General features: G+C 40.1%; 1 protein-coding gene and 1 long non-coding RNA gene across 18 annotated transcripts in view, besides 2 other annotated features; one reads left to right on the forward strand and one right to left on the reverse strand.

The window, feature by feature from the left end:
• AHCYL2 (adenosylhomocysteinase like 2) overlaps nucleotides 1–26724 on the forward strand; it is a 205182-nt gene that overhangs the window by 127843 nt on the left and 50615 nt on the right. For 2 of the 16 annotated variants that reach the window (XM_011515988.3, XM_047420089.1), the window contains exons 1-2: nucleotides 15269–15296; nucleotides 15598–15679. The exons of 4 other annotated variants lie outside the window; for them this stretch is intronic. In XM_011515988.3, coding sequence (XP_011514290.1) covers nucleotides 15623–15679 — 57 coding nt within the window. In that variant the 5' untranslated portion in view covers nucleotides 15269–15296; nucleotides 15598–15622. Of the gene's footprint in view, nucleotides 1–15268; nucleotides 15423–15507; nucleotides 15680–22965; nucleotides 23055–23196; nucleotides 23294–23917; nucleotides 24003–24612; nucleotides 24752–26724 lie in introns of those variants that run through there. 10 more of the 16 variants (XM_005250237.2, NM_001130723.3, NM_001393386.1 and 7 more) reach the window with 9 other exon arrangements.
• On the reverse strand, nucleotides 15152–24806 carry LOC107986847 (uncharacterized). 2 transcript variants are annotated; one of them, XR_007060518.1, is made up of 3 exons: nucleotides 24658–24806; nucleotides 18521–20219; nucleotides 15152–16022 (listed from the first exon to the last, which is right to left on the reverse strand). It is a non-coding gene; the product is annotated as an uncharacterized LOC107986847 (long non-coding RNA). The 2 variants fall into 2 exon arrangements; XR_001745359.3 differs by lacking the exon at nucleotides 24658–24806 and adding an exon at nucleotides 21558–21640.
• Nucleotides 22382–22942: an enhancer, noted in NCBI's record as "OCT4-H3K27ac hESC enhancer chr7:129015095-129015655 (GRCh37/hg19 assembly coordinates)". NCBI's record gives its function as "activates a minimal SCP1, AML or CMV promoter by ChIP-STARR-seq in naive H9 embryonic stem cells {active_cell/tissue: H9 hESC(naive)}" and the evidence as "EXISTENCE:reporter gene assay evidence [ECO:0000049][PMID:30033119]".
• Nucleotides 22943–23502: an enhancer, noted in NCBI's record as "H3K27ac hESC enhancer chr7:129015656-129016215 (GRCh37/hg19 assembly coordinates)". NCBI's record gives its function as "activates a minimal SCP1, AML or CMV promoter by ChIP-STARR-seq in naive H9 embryonic stem cells {active_cell/tissue: H9 hESC(naive)}" and the evidence as "EXISTENCE:reporter gene assay evidence [ECO:0000049][PMID:30033119]".

The following is a 26724-nucleotide window of genomic DNA, read 5'->3' on the forward strand; positions in this document are numbered from 1 at the left end:
TAGAATAAAATTCAAATTCCTTAGCTTATAAGGCCTTTCATGTTTAGGCCTTTACCTCCTCATTCTTTTTTTTTTTTTTTTTTTTTTTGGTGCAGAGTTTCTCTCTTGTTGCCCAGGCTGGAATGCAATGGTGTGGTCTCTCGGCTCACTGCAGCCTCTGCCTCCCGGGTTCAAGCGATTCTCCTGCCTCAGCCTTCTGAGTAGCTGGGATTACAGATGGCTGCCACCACACCTGGCTAATTTTTGTATACTTTTAGTAGAGATGGGGTTTCACCGTGTTGGCCAGGCTGGTCTCGAACTCCTGACCTTAGGTGATCCACCTGCCTCGGCCTCCCGAAGTGCTGGGATTACAGGGGTGAGCCACCATGCCCGGCCATTCTTTACATTCTTTACATTCTTTACAACCTCATTCTCCCTTTCATTCACTAAATTCCAGCCACACAAGTAATCTTTCTATTCCTTAAACATGCCAAGTTCTTTCTTACATCAGGGGTTTTGCAATTACTATTTTCTTTCTTTCATATAGCAAGCTTTCTCTCATCCCTCTGGTCCTAGTTCAAATGTTATCACCTTAAAACTGCCTTTCTTGATTATTCTATCTAAGGTAGTTTCTTCCTTTTATACCTTATTTAGCCTCTTGGTCATTTCCTGTATAACAGCATAAATTTAATTATTTCATCTATCTATTTACTTAATTTTTTATCCGTCTCCCTTATTAGATAAAAATAAGCAAATAATTTTAGATGTGTTAAGATGGAGGTGCCTATAGGAATATCATACAGTGACGCCATCTAGTAGGCCACTGTCTGGAACTTAAGCTCAGAGGGAGATGTTATTAATAGATACAGAGTTTTGGAAATTACCTGTATGTTAATAGTAAATGAAGCCATGGATACAGGTAAGAGGAAGATTTGACTGAAGAGGACACAGAGACTAGAATAGAATCTTCAAGAATTCCCACATTTGAGGGACCAAAAAGAGAAGCCCAAAGGAAACTGAGAATGAAGATATTTTGGAGATCAAAGGAAATATGAGTATAATATCAGAAAAGCCAAAGGAAGAGAGTCTTTCAAGGAAGAAATATTAATAACTGTGTCAAAATCCTGAGAAGTAAAGTAAGCTGAGAAGTATCCAATAGGCGTAGCAATAAGGACATAGTAACCATGGCATGAATAATTTCAGTGGATTGGCAAGACAAGACAGACCATAATAGATTGAGGACTGAATGGAAGGTGAAGAGTTGTGGATATACTGTAATAAGTTTAGAAAGCCAAGGAGTTTGGCATTGAAGGCAATCAGTCCCCAAGAAGGTGAGAGAGAATTTGATCCAGAGCACTGGTGGAAGGATAGATTTTGATGGGAAGAGAGGATCTTCCATTAAAACAGGAGGGAGATAGGAGAAGATGGATGTGGGGAAGTTTATAGGTTTGAGTATTGAGAAGTTGGAAAAGAAATTGTTTCCATTTAATGATTTTAGTTTTTTCTGTAAAATAAGAGTAGAAGTAATATACTGAGAGTAAGGGATGTTATAGCCAGACATTTGAGAAAGTATAGAACATTATGACAGCTGGTATGGAGACAAGAAGAAAGGGCTGAGTAAGGAAATGTAACAGGATTACTAGGTTGTATTGACCTGTGTATCTGGGTTGTTTTCAGCAGCAGAACAGTCCAGGCGTAGGCATGACCATTTGGTAATGGTAGTCTGCCTATGTATGGTTCCTTGCAAGTCTTCACTGTGGATGACATTGAGTAAGACTTGCTCTTGCAACCGAACATAGACTCTGGTTAACACTACAATGTCAGCATTGCATTAAGAAGATAGATTGAACTTCCTTCCACTTTCTCTGTCACTGCTAGACTTGGCAGAAGATTTTGACTACAGCATCTTTACCTTGTAGAGAACTGCACTTAGAAGCAAAGTTGAAGTGATTTATGGACCTCACAGAAGGGATTTATAGCTCCCGTAGGAAATAATTGGCTCATGACCTTTAAAATTAGAGGAAATTTGCCTTGGAGTCATCCAGAGCGAGTGAACACAGCAGCACAGTCAGTCCTCATTATTTTCAGATTCCATATTTGCAAATTTGCCTAGTCAGTAAAATTTATTTGTAACCCCAAATGAATACCCCCGATCCTTTTGGGATCATAGACATGCATAGAATGGTGAAAAATTTGTGTCACCTGACATGCATTAAGAAGCAAAAATTGTCCTGGAATACAAACCTTCAAGAAGACCTACAGAGCTGAGGTCAAACATGACAATGGTCTGCCTTCCTGTTTCATCCCTCATACTGTAAACACGTGTCCTGTTCATAATCTGTTTAGTGCCATATATTTTTGAATTTTTGTGCTTTGTTTTAGTGATTGCACTGTGTAAAATTGTCCCCAGGTGTCATGGTAAAGTGTTGTCTAGTGTTCTTAAGCTCAAAAAGGCTGTGATGTGTGTTACTGAGAAAATGTGTGTTAGATCAGCTTAGTTCAGACATGAGTTATAGTGCTGTTATCTCTGGGTTCAATGATAATGTACCAAAATACATTAAATAAGATGTCTTTAAACAGAAATACATATAAAACAAGATTATGTATTGACACAAATGCTGAGAATCACATGCACCTAACCGTGTATTTTTCCTAGGAGCAGTGGTTCACTGTTGGCAAATTTAGTGTTCATGGCAACTTTATAGAATGTAACTACCTCAAATAATAAGAATCAATGTATTTTATATATTTATTTTGGAGGACCTTAAAGTATCTCACAGACATTAGCTCATTCATCAACACAACTTCCAGAAATTAGCTGCTAGAGAATGAGTTGTTATTTGGAGGATAAGGGAAAATTCACTCTGTAGGTCTCCCTTAAGGTTTGTATTCTAGGACAATTTTTGCTTCTTAAGTAGACAGTATTTTACCCTTGGATGTAAAAAGATCTGCTTGCTAATTATGGTTATGTTTGATTGATTTGCTTTGGAACTAATTGGAATATTCCCTATTTGACTTCAATGGGGAAAGGTTAAAAGGTAAAGAAAGCATTTTGGAAAGCAGTCAGAACTTTTTGGCAGAAAAGTACCAGGTAGAGAGAAATAATCATAGTGGTTATTATCACAAATGTAAAAAAGGTAAGGATATAAATTGCTGGATACATATTTGAATGTGTTATGTTGAAAATGGCTACTCACATATATATTATAGGAACTTTTCTCTCCTTCAACTCGGCATTCAAACCTTTGTCTAGATCCTGCTAATTCTTCCTTTATATGATTTCTCAAATTTGTTCCTTCTTTTTCATTAATATAGTGATAATCTGGAAATCCAGACTTTAACCATTTTCAAAGTTGACCTCAAAGTTGCTCTCATTTCTTTCAGCCACATTTTCCCTTGAATGTAAGAGTTACACAGTAATAAACCATCTTCCTTAAGCATATTTTTATCACATTCTGCAGACATATTACTGCCCTACTTAGAAACTTTCAGTGGCTGCTAGTTGTCTATTTTTAAATTACTATAAACCACTGTCTCTTCATGTTCCTCAATTCTCCTACAGCCTTTCCACCCTATCCCCTGTAATTGATGTCATCTCATAATTCATTGTGTGTGTAGGGGAACCTCTAGATGTTAATTCCTTCATCTTATAACCAAATCTATAAAGCTGCCTGTGTCTATTCCTTTTTTCCCTTCCATTACAAAGGAAAGAAGTATTAGAACATAGGCATCTTTGATGAGGGGCATTATTTTGTCTACCACACATTTCTTTTTTTCTTCTCAATATAAGAGCAATGTATCCTCATTCCAGAAAAATTAGAAAACAGACCAGCAATTTAGGAACTGTGTAGGCCCTGTTGATCTCCTAATGGAAACAGAGATCCTTAGTTCATGTTGATTAAGAAGGGAGGGTCTCTGATTTACTTAAGGCCTTGAAGATACTCCAAAAGTTTGTCAAAAGTCACAGAGAAGAAAAGTGTCACCTTCCACATAAAATCCATGGGGAAAAGGAGTACTGTAAGACTCTTGGCAAGGTATTTAGTTTCTCTAGGTCTTGGCTTCTTTATCCTTAAAATAAGGAATTGAATTAACTGATTTTTAAAATTATTGTCTTTTAATATATAAAGGCTGGTACCTACATTCTACTAAAAATCAAAAGAGATGAATAGATAACAAACATAGGTTTGCTAGTTTTTTAATCAAATCAACGTATAGTGTTATTTCGGGATTCAGTCAGTTACATTTTCACAGTCATGAAAGACAAGGAAAGACTGAGAAGCTATCACGGATTGGAGGATACCAAGGAGGACAACCAAAAGCGATGTGGGATCCTGGATGGGATACTGGAACTGAAAAGGGGTATTAGTGGAAAAACTGGTGAAATCCAACTAAAGCCTGCAGTTTAGTTAATAGTTAATAGTATTATTAGGTAATAGTATTGCACCAATGTGAATTTCTTAGTTTTGATAATTGCTGTGATTTTACAAGAAGTTAACCTTAGAGGATGCTAGGTGAAGTACATATGGAAACTCTGTACTATTTTTGCAAGTTGTTTCTAAGTCTAAAATTATTTCAAAAGAAAATGTTTTTTATTAATAAGAGTGGGAAAGCAAGCCACAGAGGGAGAGAAGTTGTTTGCAAGATTTATAACTGCAAAGAACTCAAAATCAGAATGTATAAATAACTCATACAAATCAGTAAAGACTGACAACCCAATAGAAAAACAGGCAAAAGACTTGAAAGACTCTTCACATAAGATGATGTCCAAATAGCCAATAAGCATATAAAAATGTGCTTGGTGGGCCGGGCGCAGTGGCTCACGCCTGTAATCCCAACACTTTGGGACGCCGAGGTGGGTGGATCACGAGGTCAGGAGATCGAGACCATGCTGGCTAACACGATGAAACCGCATCTCTACTAAAAATACAAAAAATTAGCTGGGCGTGGTGGCGGGCGCCTGTAGTCCCAGCTACTTGGGAGGCTGAGGCAGGAGAATAGCGTGAATCCAGGAGGTGGAGCTTGCAGTGAGCTGAGATCAGGCCACTGCACTCCAGCCTGGGTGACAGGGCGAGACTCCATCTCAAAAAAAAAAAAAAAGAAAGTGGGGCCTCAAATAGATATTTGCACATCACTGTTGATACCAGCACTGTTCACAGTAGCCAAAAGCTGGAAACAACACAAATGCCTATCGACAGATGAATGGATAAACAAAATGTGGCATAGACATAAAATGGAATATTATTCAGCTTTAAAAAAGAAAGGCCAGGGGCGGTGGCTCACCCCTGTAATCCCAGCACTTTGGGAGGCCGAGGTGGGCGGATCACGAGGTCAGGAGATTGAGACCATCCTGGCTAACACGATGAAACCCCGTCTCTACTAAACATACAAAAATTAGCCGGGCGTGGTGGCGGGCGCCTGTAGTCCCAGCTACTCGGGAGGCTGAGGCAGGAGAATGGCGTGAACCCGGGAGGCGGGGCTTCCTGTGAGCAGAGATCGCGCCACTGCACTCCAGCCTGGGAGACAGAGCGAGACTCCGTCTCACACACACACAAAAAAAAAAACAAAAAGGAATGAAATTCTGCCATATGCTACAATATGGAGGATCCTTGAGAACATTATGCTAAGTGAAATGTCAGTCACAAAAGGACAAATAGATTGTATGATTCCACCTATATGAGTTACCCAATGTAGTCAAATTCAGAGACAGAAAGCAGAGCCTTGGTTACCAGGGGCTGGAGGGAAGGGAGAATGAGGAATTGTTGTTTAATGGGTATAGAGTTGCAGTTTGAGATAATGAAAAAGTTTTGGAGATGGATGGTGGTGATGGTTGCACAATGTGAATGTACTTAATGCCACTGAACTGTATACTTAAAAATGGTTAAAGTGGTAACTCTTATGTACATTTACCACAATTTTTTTTTAAGTGGTTGTGTTGGTAATGGTAGTGGTGGTGGCAAGATATAGATGAAAACCACAGTGTGACACCATTATCTAGAAAGGCTAAAATGACAGAGGCCAAGGATCTGAAGCAACTGGAATACTGAGATCTTGCTGGTAGGAATATAAACTAGAACAAGTATTTTTGGAAAATTGTTTGACATTATCTAGCTGAACATATGCATACTCCATAACCTAGCAGTTCCCCTCCTAGATATATATCCGTAGAAATATTTTCATATGGGTACCGAAAGACATACAAGAATGTTCACAGCAACATTATTTTTTTATAGTCCCCAAGCTGAAAACAACCAAAAAGCCCATCAACAGAAAAAGTGGATTCAGTAAATTGTGGCTGTTCATGCAATGGGATACTTTCCCACAATATAAATAAAACTTCTAGTAAATGCAACAAACTTGGACAATTCTTAAAAATACATTAAAAAGAAAAAAAGACACCTTAAATATTTTATGATGTTTATATCAGGTTCAAAAATAGGCAGAACTGATCAGTGGTGACAAGAGTCAGGACAGAGATTACCTTTGGGGAGGAGTGAGGGTAACAACTGATAGGCGACCTATGAGAAGGCTCTAGGGTACTGGGAATGTTCTAGTTTCTTATCTGTGTAGTGGTTGCATAGGTGTGTTAACTTTTGAAATTTTATCAAGCTGTAGCTTTGTTATTTGTGTACTTTTGTAACTAAGTTATGCTTCTATAAAAAGTTTATTTTAAAAAAGAATATAGCGAGAAGCACACATTCTACATTCATTTAATGGCATTATGTTTCATTATTTAACCCCCAACCTCCAGCTCAGTGATAAAACTGAGGGCCCTAAATGCAAATTCCTTCCCACTCTTATTCTTGTTGTTTTGAAGTTTAAGAACAAGTTTTCAAGTTTAAGCTTGACTTTTCTTTGAGAACAGCTTTAGCTAGAGGTGCTAACTATGCAGCAAACTGAACCCTGACCTAAGTGGAGCTCTAATTAGCCGGGTCAGGGAAATTGAGAATTTAAGTCCATACTCCACTCCTGGATTCTACAGGTCTTAGGGAGTAGAGAAGGTAGCTTAGTGACTGCTTTAGAATACTGTAATCTTTGTATTACTTAATTGTTTATTTGAGAAACACTGGATTAGTCAGTGGCAAGGAGGTACATTTAGTTTATACTAAGCATAATTTTGTTATAGTGATGTTTCTATTTATAATAGTTTTGTTAATTTTTACTCATACCCTGTTCTCTTTTCCTTCCTTTTACTCTTCAGCTACCTGTTCTATATTTAATTCATTTTAGGCTTTGCCCTGAGCTAGCTAGCTATTTTTTTTTAATTTTAATTTTTTTTTTTTTGAGACGGAGTTTTGCTCTTGTTGCCCAGGCTGGAGTGCAATGGCATGATCTTGGCTCACCGCAACCTCTGCCTCCTGGGTTCAAGTGATTCTCCTGCCTCAGCCTTCCCAAGTAGCTGGGATTACAGGCATGTACCACCACGCTCGGCTAATTTTGTATTTTTAGTAGAGACGGAGTTTCTTCATTTTGGTCAGGCTGGTCTCGAACTCCCGACCTCAGGTGATCTGCCTGCCTCAGCCTCCCAAGGTGCTGGGATTACAGGCGTGAGCCACCACGCCCGGCCACTATTCTTTAAATCATATATTCATCTAGCACATATTCATGGGTTGTTTACTATGTGCTGGGCACTTGGAATACAAAAATAGGACATATAACTTCTGTTCTCAGATTGCTTGCAGTACCAGTGTGGAAAGAGACAAATGATCAATTATAGTATCAATGCTGACATGCACTGTGATAGAGATCAGTCTGGGGGATTACTCAGTAATTCGTGTAATTGATTCTTAACCTAGACCAGGAACTGGAAATGTCTACTGAAGGAAATTACAGCTAATCTATAAATTTTGAAAGACGTGTGTGTGTGTGTATGTGTGTGCATGCATATGCCTATGTGTGCTTTCATTCAGAGTGGGAAGGTAAGGGAATGTAGAGCACCAAGGCTCCAGAGATAGGCAGAGACCAAGTCATGAAAGGTCTTATATGTCATCATGCTAAGGAGTTTCAATTTTATTTTGAGGATAGTGAGGAGTAACTGGGGTGTTATAAACAAGGAAGTGATATGGCATGTATAAATGAATTTAATGAATTGAAGTAGGCTGTTACATGAATGGAATTATCTAGGTAAACTTTTACTTTTCAAAGTGTTGTCCCAGCCATATTGTCATCATCTCAGAGCTATTCAAAATGTAGAATTTTGGGACCTATTCCAGACTTTCTAAATCAGAATGGGCATTTTATTTTAACAAGATCTTCACATGATTTATATGCACATTCAAGTTTGAAAAGCACCGATTTAGACAGATAATGATGATGGTCAGGCTTTATACAGCTGGTGTGAGGAAGATAGGACAGATTGCAAGAGATATTACGGAGTACATGTTCTTCCCTCTATTTGGAATACTCTTCTCAATTCCCCTCCAACACACACCAGGTAACTCCCCGCTTATCCTTTACCTTTCTGCTTAAATGGAGCTTCTCTCTTGCCACGGCCCCAATACACATAATTGGTGCCCTTGCCATATACTCCCATGTACTTATATTATCATTTCTCACACTTTTATATACTTATTTAATTGCCTCTCTCCTTGTACTGTAAGCACCACGAAGATAAAGATCATTTTTCTGTGGTACTTGGCACATGGTAGGCACCCAGTAAATATTTGTGATTTGATTAAATGAATGAATTCTTCATGTATAAGAAGAGAAAATGGATTTGGGTATGCTAGAGAGAAGGATGTACATGCTGTAATTATTAACAATAATAGTTATTTTATGTATGTGTGTGTGTTTATTTTTGGACACCCAGTCTTGTTCTATCTCCCAGACAGAGTGCAGTGGCATGATCATAGATCATTGTAACTTCAAACTCTTGGGCTCTATCCTCCCATCTCAGCCTCCCCAGTAGCCAGGACTGTAGGCGCACACCACTATGTCTGGCTAATTTTTTTTTTTTTTAAGAGATGGGGTTTTGCTATGTTGCTCAGGCTGAATAATAGTAAATTTTAAATAGCACTAATAAGTTCCAGGTGCTAAGTGCTTTGTTCATATTAATTTATTTGATTATCCCAGCAATCCTATAGGATAGATATTCTTAATAGCCCTATTTTACAGATGAGAAAACTGAGGCACAAAAAGGATAAGTAATTTGCCTAAGGTTATGCTGTTGGTAAGAAGCGAGATTCAAACCAGGCAGTTGAGTACTACTCTGCTCTATCTAGTTTTGGACAAAATAGCTTCCTGGTGCTTAGTGTTTTATATGTATTAGTTATTTAATCTTTATAAAACCAATGTGTAGAAGATACTGTTATCCTGATTTACAGACAAAGAAACAAAGGTTCAAAAAGGTTGTGTAGCCTGAGGATACACAGCTAGTAAGTGATGAAACTGGCCTTCAAACCCAAGTCTATTCAACTTTAAAAGCCTATAGTCTTTACCTGTAATGATGATGCTTCCATGTTGAGTCCAAAAAATACCTGTGAGGTATGAATTTTAGATTACTGAGGAACTGATAAGTAAGATACCTAACATCATTTAGGTTGTGAGATAGGGAGAAGGGCTCAACAATGCCGGTGTCTGTGATAGCACTGGCATTTTGAGTTTGAAGGAGTAAAGGAGATTTAAGGTCCAGCAATTCCAGCCAGTCTCATACTTGACCACATTGAGCTTTGAACTCAGGTGGTTAGGAACTTTAGCCTCCATAATAAGCTGAAACTTAGGTGACTAAGGAATAGTTATTGGTTTTCTTGTTTTTTTTTTTTTTTTTTTTTTTTTTTATGGTCTCAGAGAATCTAGATGGATTGGAAATAGTGTTAGAACTGGAAGGAACCAGTTCTAACCTTCCACAGTTCACTCTTCCTTACCTCCCTCTCATTTTATGATAAGGAGATTGAAGAAGGGTAATTAGGTGATTTGCCAAAGTCCAATAAAACAAAGCCAGGAAAAGAAGACAGGGTCACATTCTTGTATTCCTTGCCCTGTGCCTTATCTCTAGGTTCCAGATTCATCACCTTTTGATTAAAACTGTTCTGCCATTATAGTAACATCTTCACTGCCTGGGGGTTTTTTTAGCTTTGAGCCCTGAAAAGAGTAACTTTTTGTCCCTTCCCCTTTGGCCCTAAGCACATACTCACTGACTTCAGATCATCCGGCAGGCCATATGCCCTCATGGATGACGATAGTATCGAGTCAATACTTGTGGGAATACAACTGGCACAGAGGATTTTGAGCTGTTTTTGGAGTTAAGATTCTTCTAAGCTATTCAGATACTTGGTCAATTTTTGTACAACAGAAAGCCGCAGGAGCCGATACAGTTTGCATAACTTTTTTTTGAAGTTGCCAACTCCTCACCTACATGTTAAGGGTAATATAATCATATGCAGTGGTCTCACTCCTGCCCTGGCTATAGGTGTATCTTCTAAGGCACATTATGGTAAAGTGGAATTATATTGGAAACGAATTTATAACTAGTACTTATACCTATACCTTATGCCTTACACAGTCTTTGTCAGTTAATAGGCCTTCAGTTCTCAAATGTAATAGCTACTATTTTATTTCCATTTCAGAATTGTTGCAGAAAGACGTAGTGAGGTTGCAGTGTTCAAATAGTCTATTTTAGTTAAAACCTACAGTAAGGAAACAAAAAAAAGTCATAACTAAAAACAACACTTAGTTTAGCCTGCCAAAGTGATATATTTTACTTGTGTTTATTCTTTTATTTATTTATTTGAGATGGAGTCTCACTGTGTTGCCCAGGCTGCTCACTGCAACCTCTGCCTCCCAGGTTCAAGCAGTTCTCCCTGCCTCAGCCTCCTGAGTAGCTGAGATTACAGGCGCCCGCCACCACGCCCAGCTAATTTTTGTACTTTTAGTAGAGACAGGGTTTCACCATGTTGGCCAGGCTGGTATCAAACTCCTGGCCTTAAGTGATCCACCCGCCTCGGCCTCCCAAAGTGCTGGGATTACAGGCATGAGCTGTCATGCCTGGCCTATTTTATTTTTAATCTTGTTTCTCTAAAAGTCATTTTCTTCTGTGGTTTAACACTATCATGAAGGTTGTCATCTTCTATTTATTTAATAAATCATTACATAGAGAAAATAGGCTGGGCACGGTGGCTCATGTCTGTAATCCCAGCACTTTGGGAGGCCAAGGTGGGAGGATCACTTGAGGTGAACTCCTGGGAGTTCAAGACAAGCCTGAGCAACACAGTGAGACCGCTATCTCTACAAAAAATTCAAAAATGTGCCAGGTGTGGTGGTGCACACCTGTAGTCTCAGCTACTCAGGAGGTTGAGGTGGCAGGATCACTTGAGCCTGGGAGTTCAAGCAATGATCACATCACTGCACCTCAGCCTGGATGACATAGTGAGACCCTCTTAGGTTAGAATAGAATAGAATAGAATATTAATTTTTTTCTTTTACCTTAAAAACATTTTTTTTAACTTTTTATTATTTTTTAATTTTTGAGACGGAGTCTCACTCTGTCACCCAGGCTGGAGTGCAGTGGCGCGATCTCGGCTCACTGCAACCTCTTCCAAGTTCAAGCAATTCTCCTGCCTCAGCCTCCTGAGTTGCTGGGATTTTAGGCACGGGCCACTGCACCTGGCTAAGTTTTGCATTTTTAGTAGAGACGGGGTTTCACCACATTCACCAGGCTGGTCTCGATCTCCTGACTTCAGGTGATCTGCCCACCTCGGCCTCCCAAAGTGCTGGGATTACAGGCGTGAGCCACTGCGCCCAGCTTCTTTTACCTTTTCTTTTTTAAAATTATTATTGTTACCACACTAGTCTACACTATCAATATAATCTAGTAATTTTCTTATCACTGAAATATTCTAACGGTTGGGCTTCACTCTAGCCATAAAATAGACTTTTGGCCTTAATTTGTTCCTAAAAGTTTCATTATAATGCAGATCAAAATGGATTACAATGGGTGCAGATCGAGCAATGGAAAATGGATTATATATTCCTGCAGAGATAATATAATTAAGGACTAAAACCCTACTAAGGACTTCTCGTCAAATAAGTCATATAGGTGTAGTCAGTAATATAACTAAGCCTCATAAATATAAAACAGTGTTCCAAATTCTATAAAATGGACATAAACATATTGAATACATTGAGTATGCAAGTTGCCCCCAAAGTATAATTAAGAATACGTACAGCATACATAAATTTTAAATTTGGTAATTTCTTAAGCACCTACTATATCGCAGGTATTGTAGGCAAATCAAAGTAGGCTAAGCCCCTGAAGAGCCTGGAGACTAACAAGGGGTAGCACACATACATAGGAACTATAATTTGAGGAATGGTGAGAATAGTGATATAGCCAAAGAACAATATTAGATGAAGGGGAGATTCCTTTTTTAAGGTCAGGTTTCATGGTAGAACTATCATTCCTTTAAATATTTGAAAAAGTGAAGATAATGGAAGTGAAGGCAGAAACGAATGCATTTTGATTTGAGAAAATGACATGAGCAAAGGCATTGAGGTAGGAAAGAACACAGCATGATAATAACATAATTAAGAGCTACCATTAATTAACTCCTTAGAGTATGTACCCTTTTAAAATCCTTGCATCAGTCCTGTTAGGTAGGTAGCTCTTATTATTTCCACCATACAAATTGGAAATTGGAGTTATATAGAGAGGTCAAGTAAGTGGCAGAGGCAGGATTCTAACCTAACTCTGTCTGATTCCAAAACCAGTGTTCATGGTCACCATACTGTGTAGTCTTTACATTCAAGAAGTAGCAGATAATACAGTTTACCTGGAGGATAGAGTATATATATATATATATGGGTATGAAGTGGATTGTCTTCTGGGAAAGGATTTGTAGAGGGTTAAGAGGCAGTGAAAATGAACAGAAAGGGATAGATGAAAGGTTTGGTGGAGGAGGGCACAGAAATAATATCCAAGTGATTGTTCTGGGGACTGTGGGAAAAGGGGGAAATCAAAGGTGCCTGAGGTTTCATATATGGTTGCCTGAGGACAGTGGCATCACAAACACAAAAAGTGAGGAGAAGAAAGTGTTGTTTGGAGGGGGGCGGGAAAGGAAAGACAGCAATAATGTTGATTGTAGATGTGTTGCATTTAAAGCACAGATGAAATACACCATTGGCAATTTAGGTAACAGATGTGACTTCTCATTTTAAGAAGTCCTCTGGGTTTAAAGGAAGACAGAGGACAATAATTAGAGGTTGCTAGGAGCTAAGACTTTATCAGAGTTGACACTCTGACTTCAGTGGGCCTTATTTTCCCTGCATCTCATCACCCTGTGTCCTGACATCACTCAAGTCGCCTCAACTCCATAGCTCCTCTATGACCACAGCTTCCTTTACTTCTACCTCTGCTGTTCTTATTTCGCCTGCTCTCCACCCTCCCTGTGATCCCTTGATACGTCTGAATGCACCTGGTTCAACAGTCCCTGTTTTCACCTGCCTTTCTCTCCAGTCAAACCTCTGGCCATTCATTTGAATTCTGCCCTCTCTGGCATCTTACAGTACCTCTTCCATAGATATTACCTTCCTCTCCTCCATTCCAAATCCAAAGGACCATTCTCTTAAGTAATGAAGGCCTTACAGGGTGATGAACTGTGAACCCCAAACATCTGAGACAGGTCTCGGTTAATTTAGAAAGTATTTTGCCAAGGTTGGCCAGGCGTGCTGGCTCATGCCTGTAGTCCCAGCACTTTGGGAGGCTGAGGCAGGTGGATCACCTGAGGTCAGGAGTTTGAGACCAGCCTCAACATGGCGAAACCCTGTCTACTAAAAATACAAAGTTAGCCGGGCGTGGTGGTGCATGCCTGTAATCCCAGCTACTCGGGAGGCTGAGGCAGGAGAATTGCTTGAACCTGGGAGGCAGAGGTTGCGGTGAGCCGAGATCACGCCATTGCACTCCAGCCTGGGCAACAAGAGCAAAACTCTGTCTCAAAAAAAAAAAAAAAAGTTTATAGAAAGTTTATTTTGCCAAGATTGAGGATGTGCACTCATGACACAGCCTCAGGAGGTCCTGATGACATGTGCCCAAGGTGGTCAGAACACAGTTTGGTTTTATACATTTTAAGGGGACATGAGACATCAATCAACATATGTATGATGAACACTGGTTCAGTTTGGAAAGGCGAGACATCTGGAAGCAGGGAGGGGGCTTCCAGGTCATGGGTAGATAAGAGACAAATGGTTGCATTCTTTTGAGTTTTTGATTGGCCTCTTCAAAGTAGGCAATCAGATGTGCATTTATCTCAGTGAGCAGAGGGGTGATTTTGAATAGAATCGGAGGCAGGTTTGCCCTAAGCAGTTCCAGCTTGACTTTTCCCTTTGGCTTAGTGATTTTGGGGGCCCAAGATGTTTTCCTTTCACAGAGCCTATAATCATAATTATAATATTGTCACTGTTAGCTGTAGAGAAACTATCCTCTTCAATGGGAATTAACACTGTAAAGAGTCCTGGTCCTTAAAGGGACCAAAGCAGGCATATCTTGTTAGGCTTCCTTTGTGCCTGAAACCTGTGGTACTCTTATTGGATAATATACTCTAGGAATGAACTAAGCAGGTGAGATAGGCTAGCTTACCTTTTTTCTAGTTATGTCTTATTTCCAAAATTCTGAAGTGTGCAGCAAGGAGGGAGTTGGTATGGAGAGATAAAGCAGAAACAACTTCGGAGGTCCTTTAAGGTGATAGTGTACAGGGCTACTGCACTGGCATCCTGTTTCTTCCTGAAACCAGATCTGTGTGTAAAATCCAGCATTGGTTAGGGACTTTGAGGCAGCACTAGTCTTGGTTGGAAACCCTGGCTGTCCTCTAAACCTACACTGTGGTGGCTTCTGACTAGCCTCAGTGAAGTCACTTTGCAATCAGCACCTGTGTGTCTGTAGCTGCGGGCCCTGAGGCCTTCGTGTATGTAGCACAGGGAGCCAGCAGAGGGAGCTGTCGTCCCAGAACTTTCTTAGAGCTGCTAAGAAATTCTGATTTTGAAAAAGATCTTCCTAGGCTCCATCCGAACCTCCCATGCAATAAGACTCTAACTTGAGATATGCGAGAGTTTGGTGCCAGACCCCTGGTGTGAGCAGATGGGGAGCTTCTGCATAGCTGTTTAAACTTGAAAGCCCTAGGAGCTCTTGATTTCAAGGAAACGCCTGTTTACTGATCCAAATCAAGCAACTCTTGAGAAATGGGAGTGCCTTCCTGACCTCAGTCTTTATTGATCTTGGTATCCGCACCTCCAGTGACGTGTCCTGAAGGGTGGGAGAGAATTCACAAGTGCCTCACACACAGGGAAAGAAGGAAGTCCAACTATTGCTGCAGAAAGTCCCCACTGGGGAGGTGCGGGTAGAGTGTTTGGGTAGCATTAAAACAGTGAGTGCCCTGTGAGAAGCACAGTGCCTGGGTGCAGCACTTTGCATCAGCTCTGATTTTGAAATCAGACACAGAAGGCTTTGAAGCCGGCCAGTAAGGGGTTGTCAGGCAGTTGACTAATGCTCTTGATTTGAATCGGAGGCTGCTGTGAAAAGGGATGCAGCTTCTGCTAGCCACTGTGAACTTCTGAATCTCACTAGGGTTGGGTCTGCTTTGGGGCACTCAGATAACCCCAGTATTTCCAAACCAGCTTTCCCTTTTGCTTCAGGACATATCTTACCCAAGCCTGCACTATGGAGAAGTGGGACGGTAATGAGGGCACCTCAGCTTTTCACATGCCTGAGTGGATGGTGAGTTCACTGGTCGTTTTGTTTCTCCTTCTGTTTCTTGATAATGAGAGGCAACCATTTCTGACGGGTGACAAGGATCACCTCTGAGAAGCTCCTACCAAGATCCGTGGTTGGAAAAACAGTTATTACTCTACGTTCTGATTAGTTCCTAGGTACTAGGTCACCACTGTTTCTTAATTATCCACGAAGCTGGGAAAGGTGTGAGAGTTGCCTGGCCAGGGCTTGTTGCCTGGTCATCTCTGGTGGGCAGGGGCTTTCCTCCGGCTGCTGGTGTGATGTATGGGTTGTGTTTCCTGTGACTGTTTTGCACTTCTGTTTTCAACCTGATGCTTCATTTGTTTCTCTGGGGGTAAAGAAAAAGAACAATGAGGAGAAAAAACAAAAACAGAACTTACAGAAATGGTGCTCTCTGAAGTCTGCAAAGATTGCAAACATTTCTCCCCTCCCTGCCCGTATTTTTCCCTTCAGTCACAACATTTCCCTATTTCCCCCCCAGCTATCCTTTATATATATATTTCTCTATGGCAGGAACTGCAGCTCTCTTGGTACAGTTCTTCAGAATACCATGTTTGCCTGATCAGTAGTTTTACTAAAATGATAATAAGGACTTATTTGTTGATAAGAACTAGCATATAAACCTATTATATTGGATCGAATTTCAACTTTTAAAGACAATAACCATCCTTATGTTTCTAAATAGTTTCTTCTAGATTTAGCCTGATTTCTTACAGCCCACACAGGTTTATGTTTACAGATTTGTGTTTCCCCACTATGGAAAACTAGTTAGACTCTCTAAAACATATTTCAAGTTCTTTTTAGTGTTTATAGAATTATGGATTTGAAGAAATAACTATTGATAATGAGATAGAATATATAGTAGGCCTAACAAAGGCCCCCTGAGGAACTTACATTTCAACTCATTGTTACAACTATTTTTTATTGTTTTGGGGGAGGTTATTGCTGTTCTTCTTAATGTCGTTTCAGAACATTGTGTTCAGGTTTTTTTTTTTTTTTTTTTTGAAATGGAGTCTGGCTCTGTTGTCCAGGCTGGAGTGCAGTGGCGTGATCTCAGCTCACTGCAACCTCCGCTTCCTGGGTTCAAGTGATTCTCCTGTCTCAGCCTCCCAAGTAGCTGGGATTACAGGTGTGCACCACCATACCGGGTAATTTTTGTATTTTTGGTGGAGATGGGGTTTCACCATGTTGGCCAGGCTGGTCTTGAACTCCTGACCGTAGGTGATCCACCCAACTCGGCCTCCCACAGTGCTGGGATTACAGGTGTGAGCCACCACGCTCAGTCTTGTGTTCAATTTTAAAACATTTTGTGGAAAGAAAACCTATCCATCTACAAGCTTATTCCAAGTAACATAGTGTTTTAGAATTAATGGAAGGATTTATGTAATACTTCTGATTGGGTTGAGTTTTTTTGAATTTCTTGCTACTCACTAATAACAAGAAGAGGGAAAAAGAAATTTGGTTTTCTTAAGGGAAGGGCCACGTTAAGGTATCAAACTTTGGTATTTCTATAAAGGAATATTACAGAAGAATTCTACTGAACATTAGTGTGCCAACTCAGAATCAATCAAAGTTTTATAATAATTCTTATTTCTGTCATAGTCCTCACCGTCTTACAAGCTTAGCACATCCCCTCAAAGTTCAGTAGTGGCTCCTGCTGAACTTTCACCCATTTACCTTCTTTCTAGTTAATGTGAATGGGAAGACTGCCCTAAAGGAGTTGGTGTGACCACTGCATAAGGGATATGATCTAGGGCTTCCCAGCTTTTAGAAAACACTCTTTATTTAATAAAACACAGCTCTTTAGTGTTGTGTCTTGGTTGGTAAAAAATAAATAAAAAAATTTGCAGCCGGGTGCGGTGGCTCACGCCTGTAATCCCAGCACTTTGGGGGAGGCCAGGGCGGGCAGATCACGAGGTCAGGAGATCAAGATCATCCTGGCTAACACAGTGAAACCCGGTCTCTACTAAAAATACAAAAAATTAGCCGGGCGTGGTGGCGGGCGCCTATAGTCCCAGCTACTCTGGAGGCTGAGGCAGGAGAATAGCATGAACCCGGGAGGCAGAGCTTACAGTGAGCTGAGATCGCGCCACTGCACTCCAGCCTGGGCGACAGGGTGAGACTCCGTCTCAAAACAAACAAACAAAATAATAATTTAGAAAAGCACAGCTCTGCTCTGTTCTGTTTTTAATAAGGTATTACTCTCACTTAGGAATTTCTCAGCCATTCTCTCTTAAATAGCAGGAAAATACCTTTGCTCAGTATTTTGAACAGCAATAAAAAGGAATAGGGAGGAGCTAGTCTTCAATAACACGATTGTCTCATTTGCTAGCTTTTCTTTGCCAAAGACTTTTGAGGCTTTCTTTCAGATACCACGTAAGTCATTGACTCCTGACTTGGTCTGAAAGTACTTCATTAGGTTGCTACTGATAGCCACTTAGCCAAGAAAGCTAACCTCTGAGCACCCTCTAGTGTATTGCCGATGGATTTCCAGACCTTACTTGTAAAATGTTAAAGTGTCTTTTAATCCCCAAGAAAAAAACCGTTGCTCCAGCTCCCATGTTGGGCCAAAGTTTCAATTTAAAGTTTTAACGAGTGTCTTACTCATGTTCCCATTTACATATTAGTGTAATGAAATTTCCACTGAAACTATCCCTGCCACCAAAGGAAATATGAGAAGTCTCTCAAATCTTCTTTCAGGAGAAAAATTTAGCAGAGAAGGTATATTACAACATCTCCCTTTTGTTAAAAATCACCAGCAAAAAGGGACTTCATATCCCTCAGAGAATAGGACTCACACCACATATAACAGCTGACAGTACTCACATCTCTGATTTCCAGCAGGGAAATAAGCCGGGATGAAGCCTGAAGAACCCCAATCTCAAGAACTGACGAGGTAGACTTTCAAGGTTACGTTCCATCAATCACTGGAAAACTTCTCCTGGAGCCTCTGCTCCTCAGCTGTTTTCATGTGAAGGATTTTCTTAGCCCTGTTCAGACAGCTTTACTGCTGAAAGGTTGGGGAACACTTCCTTTTAAAGACTGTCTTTATTAATGTGTTTTACTTCCCCTGAGAGATCTTTAGTCCCTTCTGGTAGTAACCTCGACTGACATGCATGGAGATCAGCAATAACTTTTTCTGTGTTTCAACATTTTAATATTTCCTCCTCCTCCCACTCCAGCTCTCTGTACTTTTCCATAGGAAATCTGGTTGATTGACTTTCATGAGTATCCAGCCAGCTTGATGCCCGATATTCTTTTGGCAAGAAGTAATCCTTTTCATAGGTAAAGAGTTAGTTCAAGCCGCTCATTTGGCTTGGAAGAGAGAGGTGTTTTGAGGAATATCTGAACCATATCTACTTGGAAGTAGAGACAAAAATCTCCAAAGTGTCTGATAAATGGTGGTAGAGGTAGCTTGACTATCACTCTAGGTCAGGATTGGTGCTTAAAACAGAAAGCCATTTGAAAAACTGATGAAAACTATGGGCTCTCTCCCCAGGATATTAAAAACACAAAATTTTGCATACTGTTGTAGGGGGTTCTAGACATCCATGGAATATAGGTTAAGAACACTTAATTTGAAAGAATAGAAATATTAATATTTTAGACTTGCATATCAATATGTAGTTTTCAAAACCCTCTCACATCTTATTATCTCAGCATACATTTTAAATAGGCAAAGTAGATATGATTATCCCTATTTTAGAAATGATGACAGACCTTAGGAAGTAGAGACACAGATACATCCTTTGTAGTATTACTTTATGTACTTGAAAAGGAATTAATTGGTTTCTCTTGGCCTTGATCCTCTTTAGGATAAATAGATCTTCTGTCCTCCCCATGAGTCCTGTTTTTCTTAATATATTACCTGTCTCTTCTTAAGAGCCTTAAGTTACGGAAAGCAGAATTAGACCCAGTTTTCTTTAGACCCTGTTTTGGGTGTAAAGAAAGATCACCTCAGCTGGGCGTGGTGCCTCATGCCTGTAATCCCAGCACTTTGGGAGGCCAAGGTGGATGGATCACCTGAGGTCAGGAGTTCGAGACCAGCCTGCCCAACATGGCGAAACCCCATCTCTACTAAAAAGTACAAAAAAAAATAAGCCAGGCATGGTTGGTGTGCTCCTGTAATCGCAGCTACTCAGGAGGCTGAGGCAAGAGAATCACTTGAACTCTGAGAGGTGGAGGTTGCAGTGAGCCGAGATGGCACCATTGCACCCCAGCCTGGGAGACAAGAGCAAAACACCATCCCCCCAAAAAAAAGAAAGAAAAGAAAGGATCACCTCATTGTATTCTCTGACCTTTCAAATAACCTTTACTTTTCTGCCTGTGAACGTGCCTCCATGGTTATAGCCATGATAGGATAGAATGGTTGGTTAAGTAGAGTCAAGAGAATCAGGGCTGCTTTACTCACGCTTGGAGAAAGTGTTAGAGCAGTGGTTTCCAAAGTGTGGTCTTCAGACTGGTAGCATCAGCGTCTCCCGGGGAGTTACTCAAAACACAAAATCTTCAACCAGAGAATTGGAAGCTGAAAAAAATTTTTTTTTTTAAATTACAAAATACAAAATCTTGGGCCCTCTCCAGACCTAATAATTCAAAAACTCTGGTGGTTAAGATCCAGCAATGTGCTTTAATAAGCTCTCCAGGTGATTTTGATGCAGCTAAAATTTGAAAGTTACTGTGTTCTATAAAAACTTATTGGCTGTGTGCGGCGGCTCACGCCTGTAATCCCAGCACTTTGGGAGGCCGAGGTGGGCGGATCACGAGGTCAGGAGATCGAGACCAGCCTGGCTAACACGAAGTAAGTGATGGAACTTTTTAAGTTTTTTTTTAGTAGAAACCCTGTCTCTACTAAAAAAAACAAAACAAAACAAAAAAGCAAAAAAACTAGCCAGGCGTGGTGGCATGCGCCTGTAGTCCCAGCTACTCGGGAGACTGAGGCAGGAGAATCACTTGACCCCGGGAGGTGGAGGTTGCAGTGAGCCGAGATCGCGCCACTGCACTCCAGCCTGGGTGACAGACCAAGACTCAGTCTCAAAAAAAAAAACCAAAACAAACAAACAGACAAAACTTGTTAAGTGGTAAGGCTTTTCCTGTCTCCTAAAATGTCTTCTGGTTCTATTTGGTATAGATATGCCAGTCCTTCTGGCTCAAGTTATCTGACTTAAGTCATTGGACCAAGGAGCTCCTTTTTACCTGAGTGAGGGAAAGGGGAACCAGCTTAGTACATGCGGACTGGGGTGAACATTCTTGTTAGGAGGAGCAAAAGTTGAGAGATTCATCAAGCAAGCAAATGATCTGTCTCACTTTGTGAAATTATGAGTAAGAGATCAGAATTGCTGTGGGTGATGGTGAATATTCATATTTGAGTTCAATTAATTTCTGTTTCCATTTCTGGTAGTGACATTGGGCAAAGTTGCCTTAAAGAGCTGTTAGAGTTCTAATTCTTATATAATTAGGTGTTTTAGAATTGTGACTTGATCAGGGCCCCAAGATTATCCGGGATGATGTCATTTCTAAGATGTAATCTGATACGAAAATGAATTTAAAGAGTAATTTTAAATTAAATAAATTTAAAGATAAAAGGAATGATTTGAGGCTAGTACACCTAGGACTAGGACCTTTGGTCTTCTGATTAATATTATGAGGCATGGTATAGTAGATGGAGCTTTGGCTCTAGCATAAACACAGGCTCAAATTCCAGTCCCATCACTTACTTGCTGTGAGACCTTGGACAAATCATTTGTTCTCTTAGAGTTAAACTTTCCTGCTTTGTCAAGTGAGAATAATACTGCCTAATTCTTAAGATTCTTGTACAAATTAATAGAAGTAACATATACACAGAACTGTGAAAATAGGCACTTACCAAACTTTTCTCTTCCAGAGATGTCAATAAGCAGTATGCAATGTGACCTTCTCTCTCTAAATAAAGATTATCCTTAAAAAAAAAAAAAAATCTGCCGGCTGGGTACAGTGGCTCATGCCTGTAATCCTAGCACTTTGGGAGGCCGAGGCAGGTGGATCACTTGAGGTCTGGAGTTCAAGACCAGCTGACCAAAATGGTGAAACCCCATGTTTACTAAAAATACAAAAAATTAGCCCGCGTGGTGGCACATGCCTGTAATCCCAGCTACTTGGGAGTCTGAGGTAGGACAATCACTTGAACCCGGAGGGTGGAGGTTGCAGTGAGCCGAGATCGCATCATTGCACTCCAGCCTGGGCAAAAAGAGCAAAACTCCATCTCAAAAAAAAAAAAAAAAAATCTGCCATTTTATGTCCTTTCTTGTGCTCAACAAGCAGTCTTTTTTTTTTTTTTAATTAAGGAAGAATTGACATCACTTTCCCCCCAATCTCTGTAGCAGACAGTTGAGTGTAGCTTTCTTCCTCACTATGTCTCTTTCAGAAATCAGCAAATAAATAATGTGATTCTTTGCCCTTTTGCTTGAATATTTGGCACGTAGTAAGATTGTTGTGATTCGGGGGACTCTGAGGAGATAAGAAACTTCCCTTTGTAGTCGTCCCTTCCATGAACACACATTTTGTGAAAAAAGCAAACTGGGTCACTCTGTGCCAAATCAGCAACAATCTTGAGCTGGGACTAGAAACCAAATGTCAAAACCTGTATAAAAGATGCACAATTCAGAGGAAAGCAGTGAACTGAGAAAATTGATTTCCTTGGTGACAGAGCTGAAATCAGTGTCCCCAGTCTGGCTAATCCAAGGACACAGAGTGTAGGGTAGGGCCTGCCTGAGTACTTGGCACCATTAATTTTTTTTTCTTACTCCTTTAATGAAGTCTCTCATTGTTTAAGTGGCTCTGTGGTTAATTTTTTTCTAATGAGACTAGGTTAACTAAAATCATCTGACATGGAAAAGGAGGAGGTAAGGTTGAAAAGGAACCTAATTAGCAAGTTAATTATAGCGAGCAAAAAAGTGCAGTGGTTATATAAATAAGCTATTGTTATGCGCATGCAAGTTGGGCCTTGTCAAGGGACTTGCAAGGTTTAGAGGTCAGAGGATCCATGTAATTAGGTGTTTAGGAAAAAAACAAGTAAAAGCAAAACAGCCACTAGAATTAGGAATGGCTGTTGAGCCACTAACAGAAATGCCTTATTAAATTGGGGCTGTACTGCTGAAGGGGTTGTTGGAGCTGCTTCAGGGATTCCAAGGAAGAGTAGTCCCCCACTCCCCAGCCCAAAAAGCTGGCTGGAACCAGAGCCAACAGAATTGCTGATGAGGAAAGTTTAAAGGCCTGATCACAAGGGTCCCTGGACCACAGAGGTGGCAGTGGGGCTGGTAATGTCACTATGCTGGGCAGCAAGAAGAAATACATTGTTAATGGCAACTCTGGGATTAAGGCCCAGGTGAGGCTAAGCTCTTATTTACCAGTCTTGCCGCTGCTATAGCCATTATTGTAAAAGGCCGACTGCTTATACTCTTTTTCCCCTCCTTTCCTGCTTTCATCCCTCCCTCTGGCATAAGGTGAGCTACCCCTCTTTTAACAGTCTCTTTCCCTCCCTTGCCTTAATGCCTGTTGGAATTAGGCAGTTCTCTCTCAAATGGAAAAGGAGGATTACCTTAAAAGACCCTGGTTCCAGACAAGGTAGGAAAGTTAGGGGTAGAATCTACTAAGGTACCACAATTGGGGTGGGCAGATTACAAAACCAATCCATTACAAAATGGACTGTATATTGGTGTTTAATTATTAAGAGGAGGTAAACACCAGGGAGCCACTTAACTCATGTTCTGGTCGTCAGAGAAAGATACTCGTTTCTTGCGGAAAATTGCATAACTTATATTTAAGTGGTTAATCTCACTCTAATATTTTTCTGTCTTAAAGAAACTTGAATTCGGTGTCTAACCAGTAAGCAAGGTTTTAGAACCCTATGTTCTAAGTGGAGAAAGCCTTGTACAACCTAGTCTTCTTTAGTATTAAAAGATAGCATGAACTTGTCCCAGGAAGGAGGGATTGCTGTAAATAGAAAACACTATAGAGAAGACAGCTCAGCTCAGATAAACTGGTTTGAGATGATAATGCAGCTAGATAGCTATATGGTTTATTCACCTTGAGCCTACAATCTAGAGTATAAGAGTGACTGGCCCCCTCTAGTGGTGTGTGTACATGGTGTGTGTGCATATGCACCCACATGTACATGTACGCAGGTGTGTGGTTGTGTTGGGGTTGTGTTGAGCATCTGAAACACGGTTTATCTATTCTTCTTTAAAGGGGACACTGGAAAAGTTCCATTATTATTCCTTTTCCTGGATGGGCTTCTAAAAAAGAATAAAGACATGTGACTGTTTTGAACAAGGTTGGTGAAACGGAAGCCAGAGTTTGCATCCTGACTGCTGTCCACCTCCCCAGCTTTCCACCTTCCCTCTTCTTCCCAGCTCTTTTTGCCCTTAAAAATCATTTTAACTTTAGACTTGGTTTATGTTTGCCATATTTAGTGAGTATTCAAACAAGTATAGACAGTGAAGATAGAATAGGCTACTTCAGATATATTGATTCAGCACTTGATTGAGTGCCTAGGATTTGTGCCTGCAGATATAAGGGTGAATAAGAATCACAGCTTCTCCCTTTATGAGCCTATAGTTTATAGAGAATACCGGTAAGTAGACAGATAGTTACATTCATTGTGGTAAGTGCTGTGCTAGGAGAAATGCAATACATGAAAGTTCATGTACGTCCTATGGGAGTACATAGAAAGGGCACTTTATCTTTTTGGAATAAATTGCTAGTTGAGCAAAATAATCATCTTTGTCATTTTTTTTAGTTCATGAAGAACTTCTTATCCGATGAGTTTTCCTATTGCTGAAAACAATTTGCAAGCCCTAAAGCACTCTGTAGGCTTTATTTGTTGTTATAGCTATGAAAATGCTATGAATCCCCCTAAAAGGCAATGTGAAGCTATTTCAATTTGGCATTGGTCCCTTGTCGCAATACTCAAGTGACTCATTAGTTACCTCTAACTGCAGGAAGTGGAGCCGTCAGTTCCTGCTTTCATTCTGGTGTACTGTATGTTCTGCCCATCAAGGAACCATCTTTTTATCATTAAAGGTAGAGTCACTTGTCAGACCTTTGATCATTTTCATTAGACCTTCCTCTATGCCACCTTGGATCCAGAATAGGCAATTATACAAACAGAGAAAACAAAAAAGTTATTAGTTCAATAAATTGTATGAGCTTTTTTTCCCCAAACAAGTATAGCTTACAAGTGACCTTTGATTTGTAGAGTATTATAAAGTATCAGCTGGAACCTCCAACAATAGGAGAAAGATAAAATTGTAAGAAAATCATTATCAAATAATCATCCAAAATGCAATGTCCAGAGTATGATATGAGGCTTATACATATTCATTCAATTAATCTGCTCCTTCTACATCTATTATAGTTAATGATCAATCTTACTGCTTTTAGGTATTTTATAATATCAAATATTTAAAAATAAATTAATATTTACTTACTAGCCAGGCGTGGTGGCTCACGCCTGTAATCCCAGCACTTTGGGAGGCCAAGGCAGGTGGATCACAAGGTCAAGAGATTGAGACCGTCCTGGCCAACATGGTGAAACCCCGTCTCTACTAAAAATACAAAAATTAGCTGGGCATGGTGGCACACACCTGTACTCCCAGCTACTTGGGAGGCTGAGGCAGGAGAATTGCTTGAACCCAGGAGGTGGAGGTTGCAGTGAGCCGAGATCAAGCCACTGCACTCCAGCCTGGCTACAGAGTGAGACTCCATCTAAAAAAAAAAAAATAAATTTACTTACTAGTACTGGAAAGCTAACTAATATATTTTAAAAAGCTTTAACAAATTAGAGTGGCTACCTGCAAGAGTTACGAGAGCATTGAACCGTAGGGGTTGGGTAGGGAGTAGATTTATTGAATTTCCTGCTATGTTTCAATTTACACACATTGTCTCATTGAACCCTCTCTAAAACCTGTGAGGTAAGTACTTTTATCTCTGTTGTATTTATGGAAAAATGAGACTCACTAAAGCATCTTGAGCAACATTACACAGCTAATGAGTGGCATAGCCAGAATTTAAATGCAATTTCAGAATGTTCATTCTTAATGAAAAGGCTTTTTAAAAATTATTAAATCATTACCATTTCCTGAGATTCTTGAAACCTGAATGCAAGTGATTTTGCCTTCCTGTACCTTGCAATTTTCTCATCTAGATATGTGGAGCTTACAAATATGATAATCTCAAATATTCTTTCTTGTACCTTGCAATTTTCTCATCTAGATATATGGAGCTTACAAATATGATAATCTGAAATATTCTTTCCAGTTTTACTTTTCAGTGAAACTGTATAAAATATTTCTGAATATGACTCAATTTTCTAAAAATTTAACCAGAATATCCCATTCTCTATTTGTGGGGAGTGGGGTGTCACAATTTTATTGTAAAAAGCATATAGTCAAAGAGTAGCCAGGCACACTGGCTCATGCCTATAATCCCAGCACTTTGGGAGGCCAAGGTGGGTGAATCACTTGAGGTCAGGAGTTCGAGACCAGCCTGGCCAACATGGTGAAATGCTGTCTCTACTAAAAATATAAAAATTAGCAGGTCATTGTGGTGTGTGCCTGTAATCCCAGCTACCAGGAGGCTGAGGCATGAGAATCACTTGAACCCAGAAGGTGGAGGTTGCAGTGAGCCGAGATCGTGCCACCGCACTGCAGCCTGGGTGACAGAGTAAAAGTCCATCTCAAAAAAAAAAAAAAAAAGTGTATCAAAGATTTAAATTTGATTAGAAACATAGTAGGTAAAGAATGAGACATTGCCAGACACAGTGACACATGCTTGTAGTCCCAGCTGTGTGAGAGGATTGCTTGAACCCAGGAGTTCAAGGCCAGCCTGGGCAATATGGAAAGACCCCATCTCTATTTAAAAAAAAAAAGAAGAATGAAAAAGTATTCTTATCTTCAAAGGGTCTTAATATCCCAAACATAGGTTGATACAATCAGATCAACTGTTAGGGAAGGTGAAAGCCTGTAATACAAGCCTTGAATTGCTGTCTCAAAATG

Source organism: Homo sapiens, chromosome 7 (genome assembly GCF_000001405.40).
Source record: "Homo sapiens chromosome 7, GRCh38.p14 Primary Assembly".
Taxonomy (NCBI): domain Eukaryota; kingdom Metazoa; phylum Chordata; class Mammalia; order Primates; family Hominidae; genus Homo; species Homo sapiens.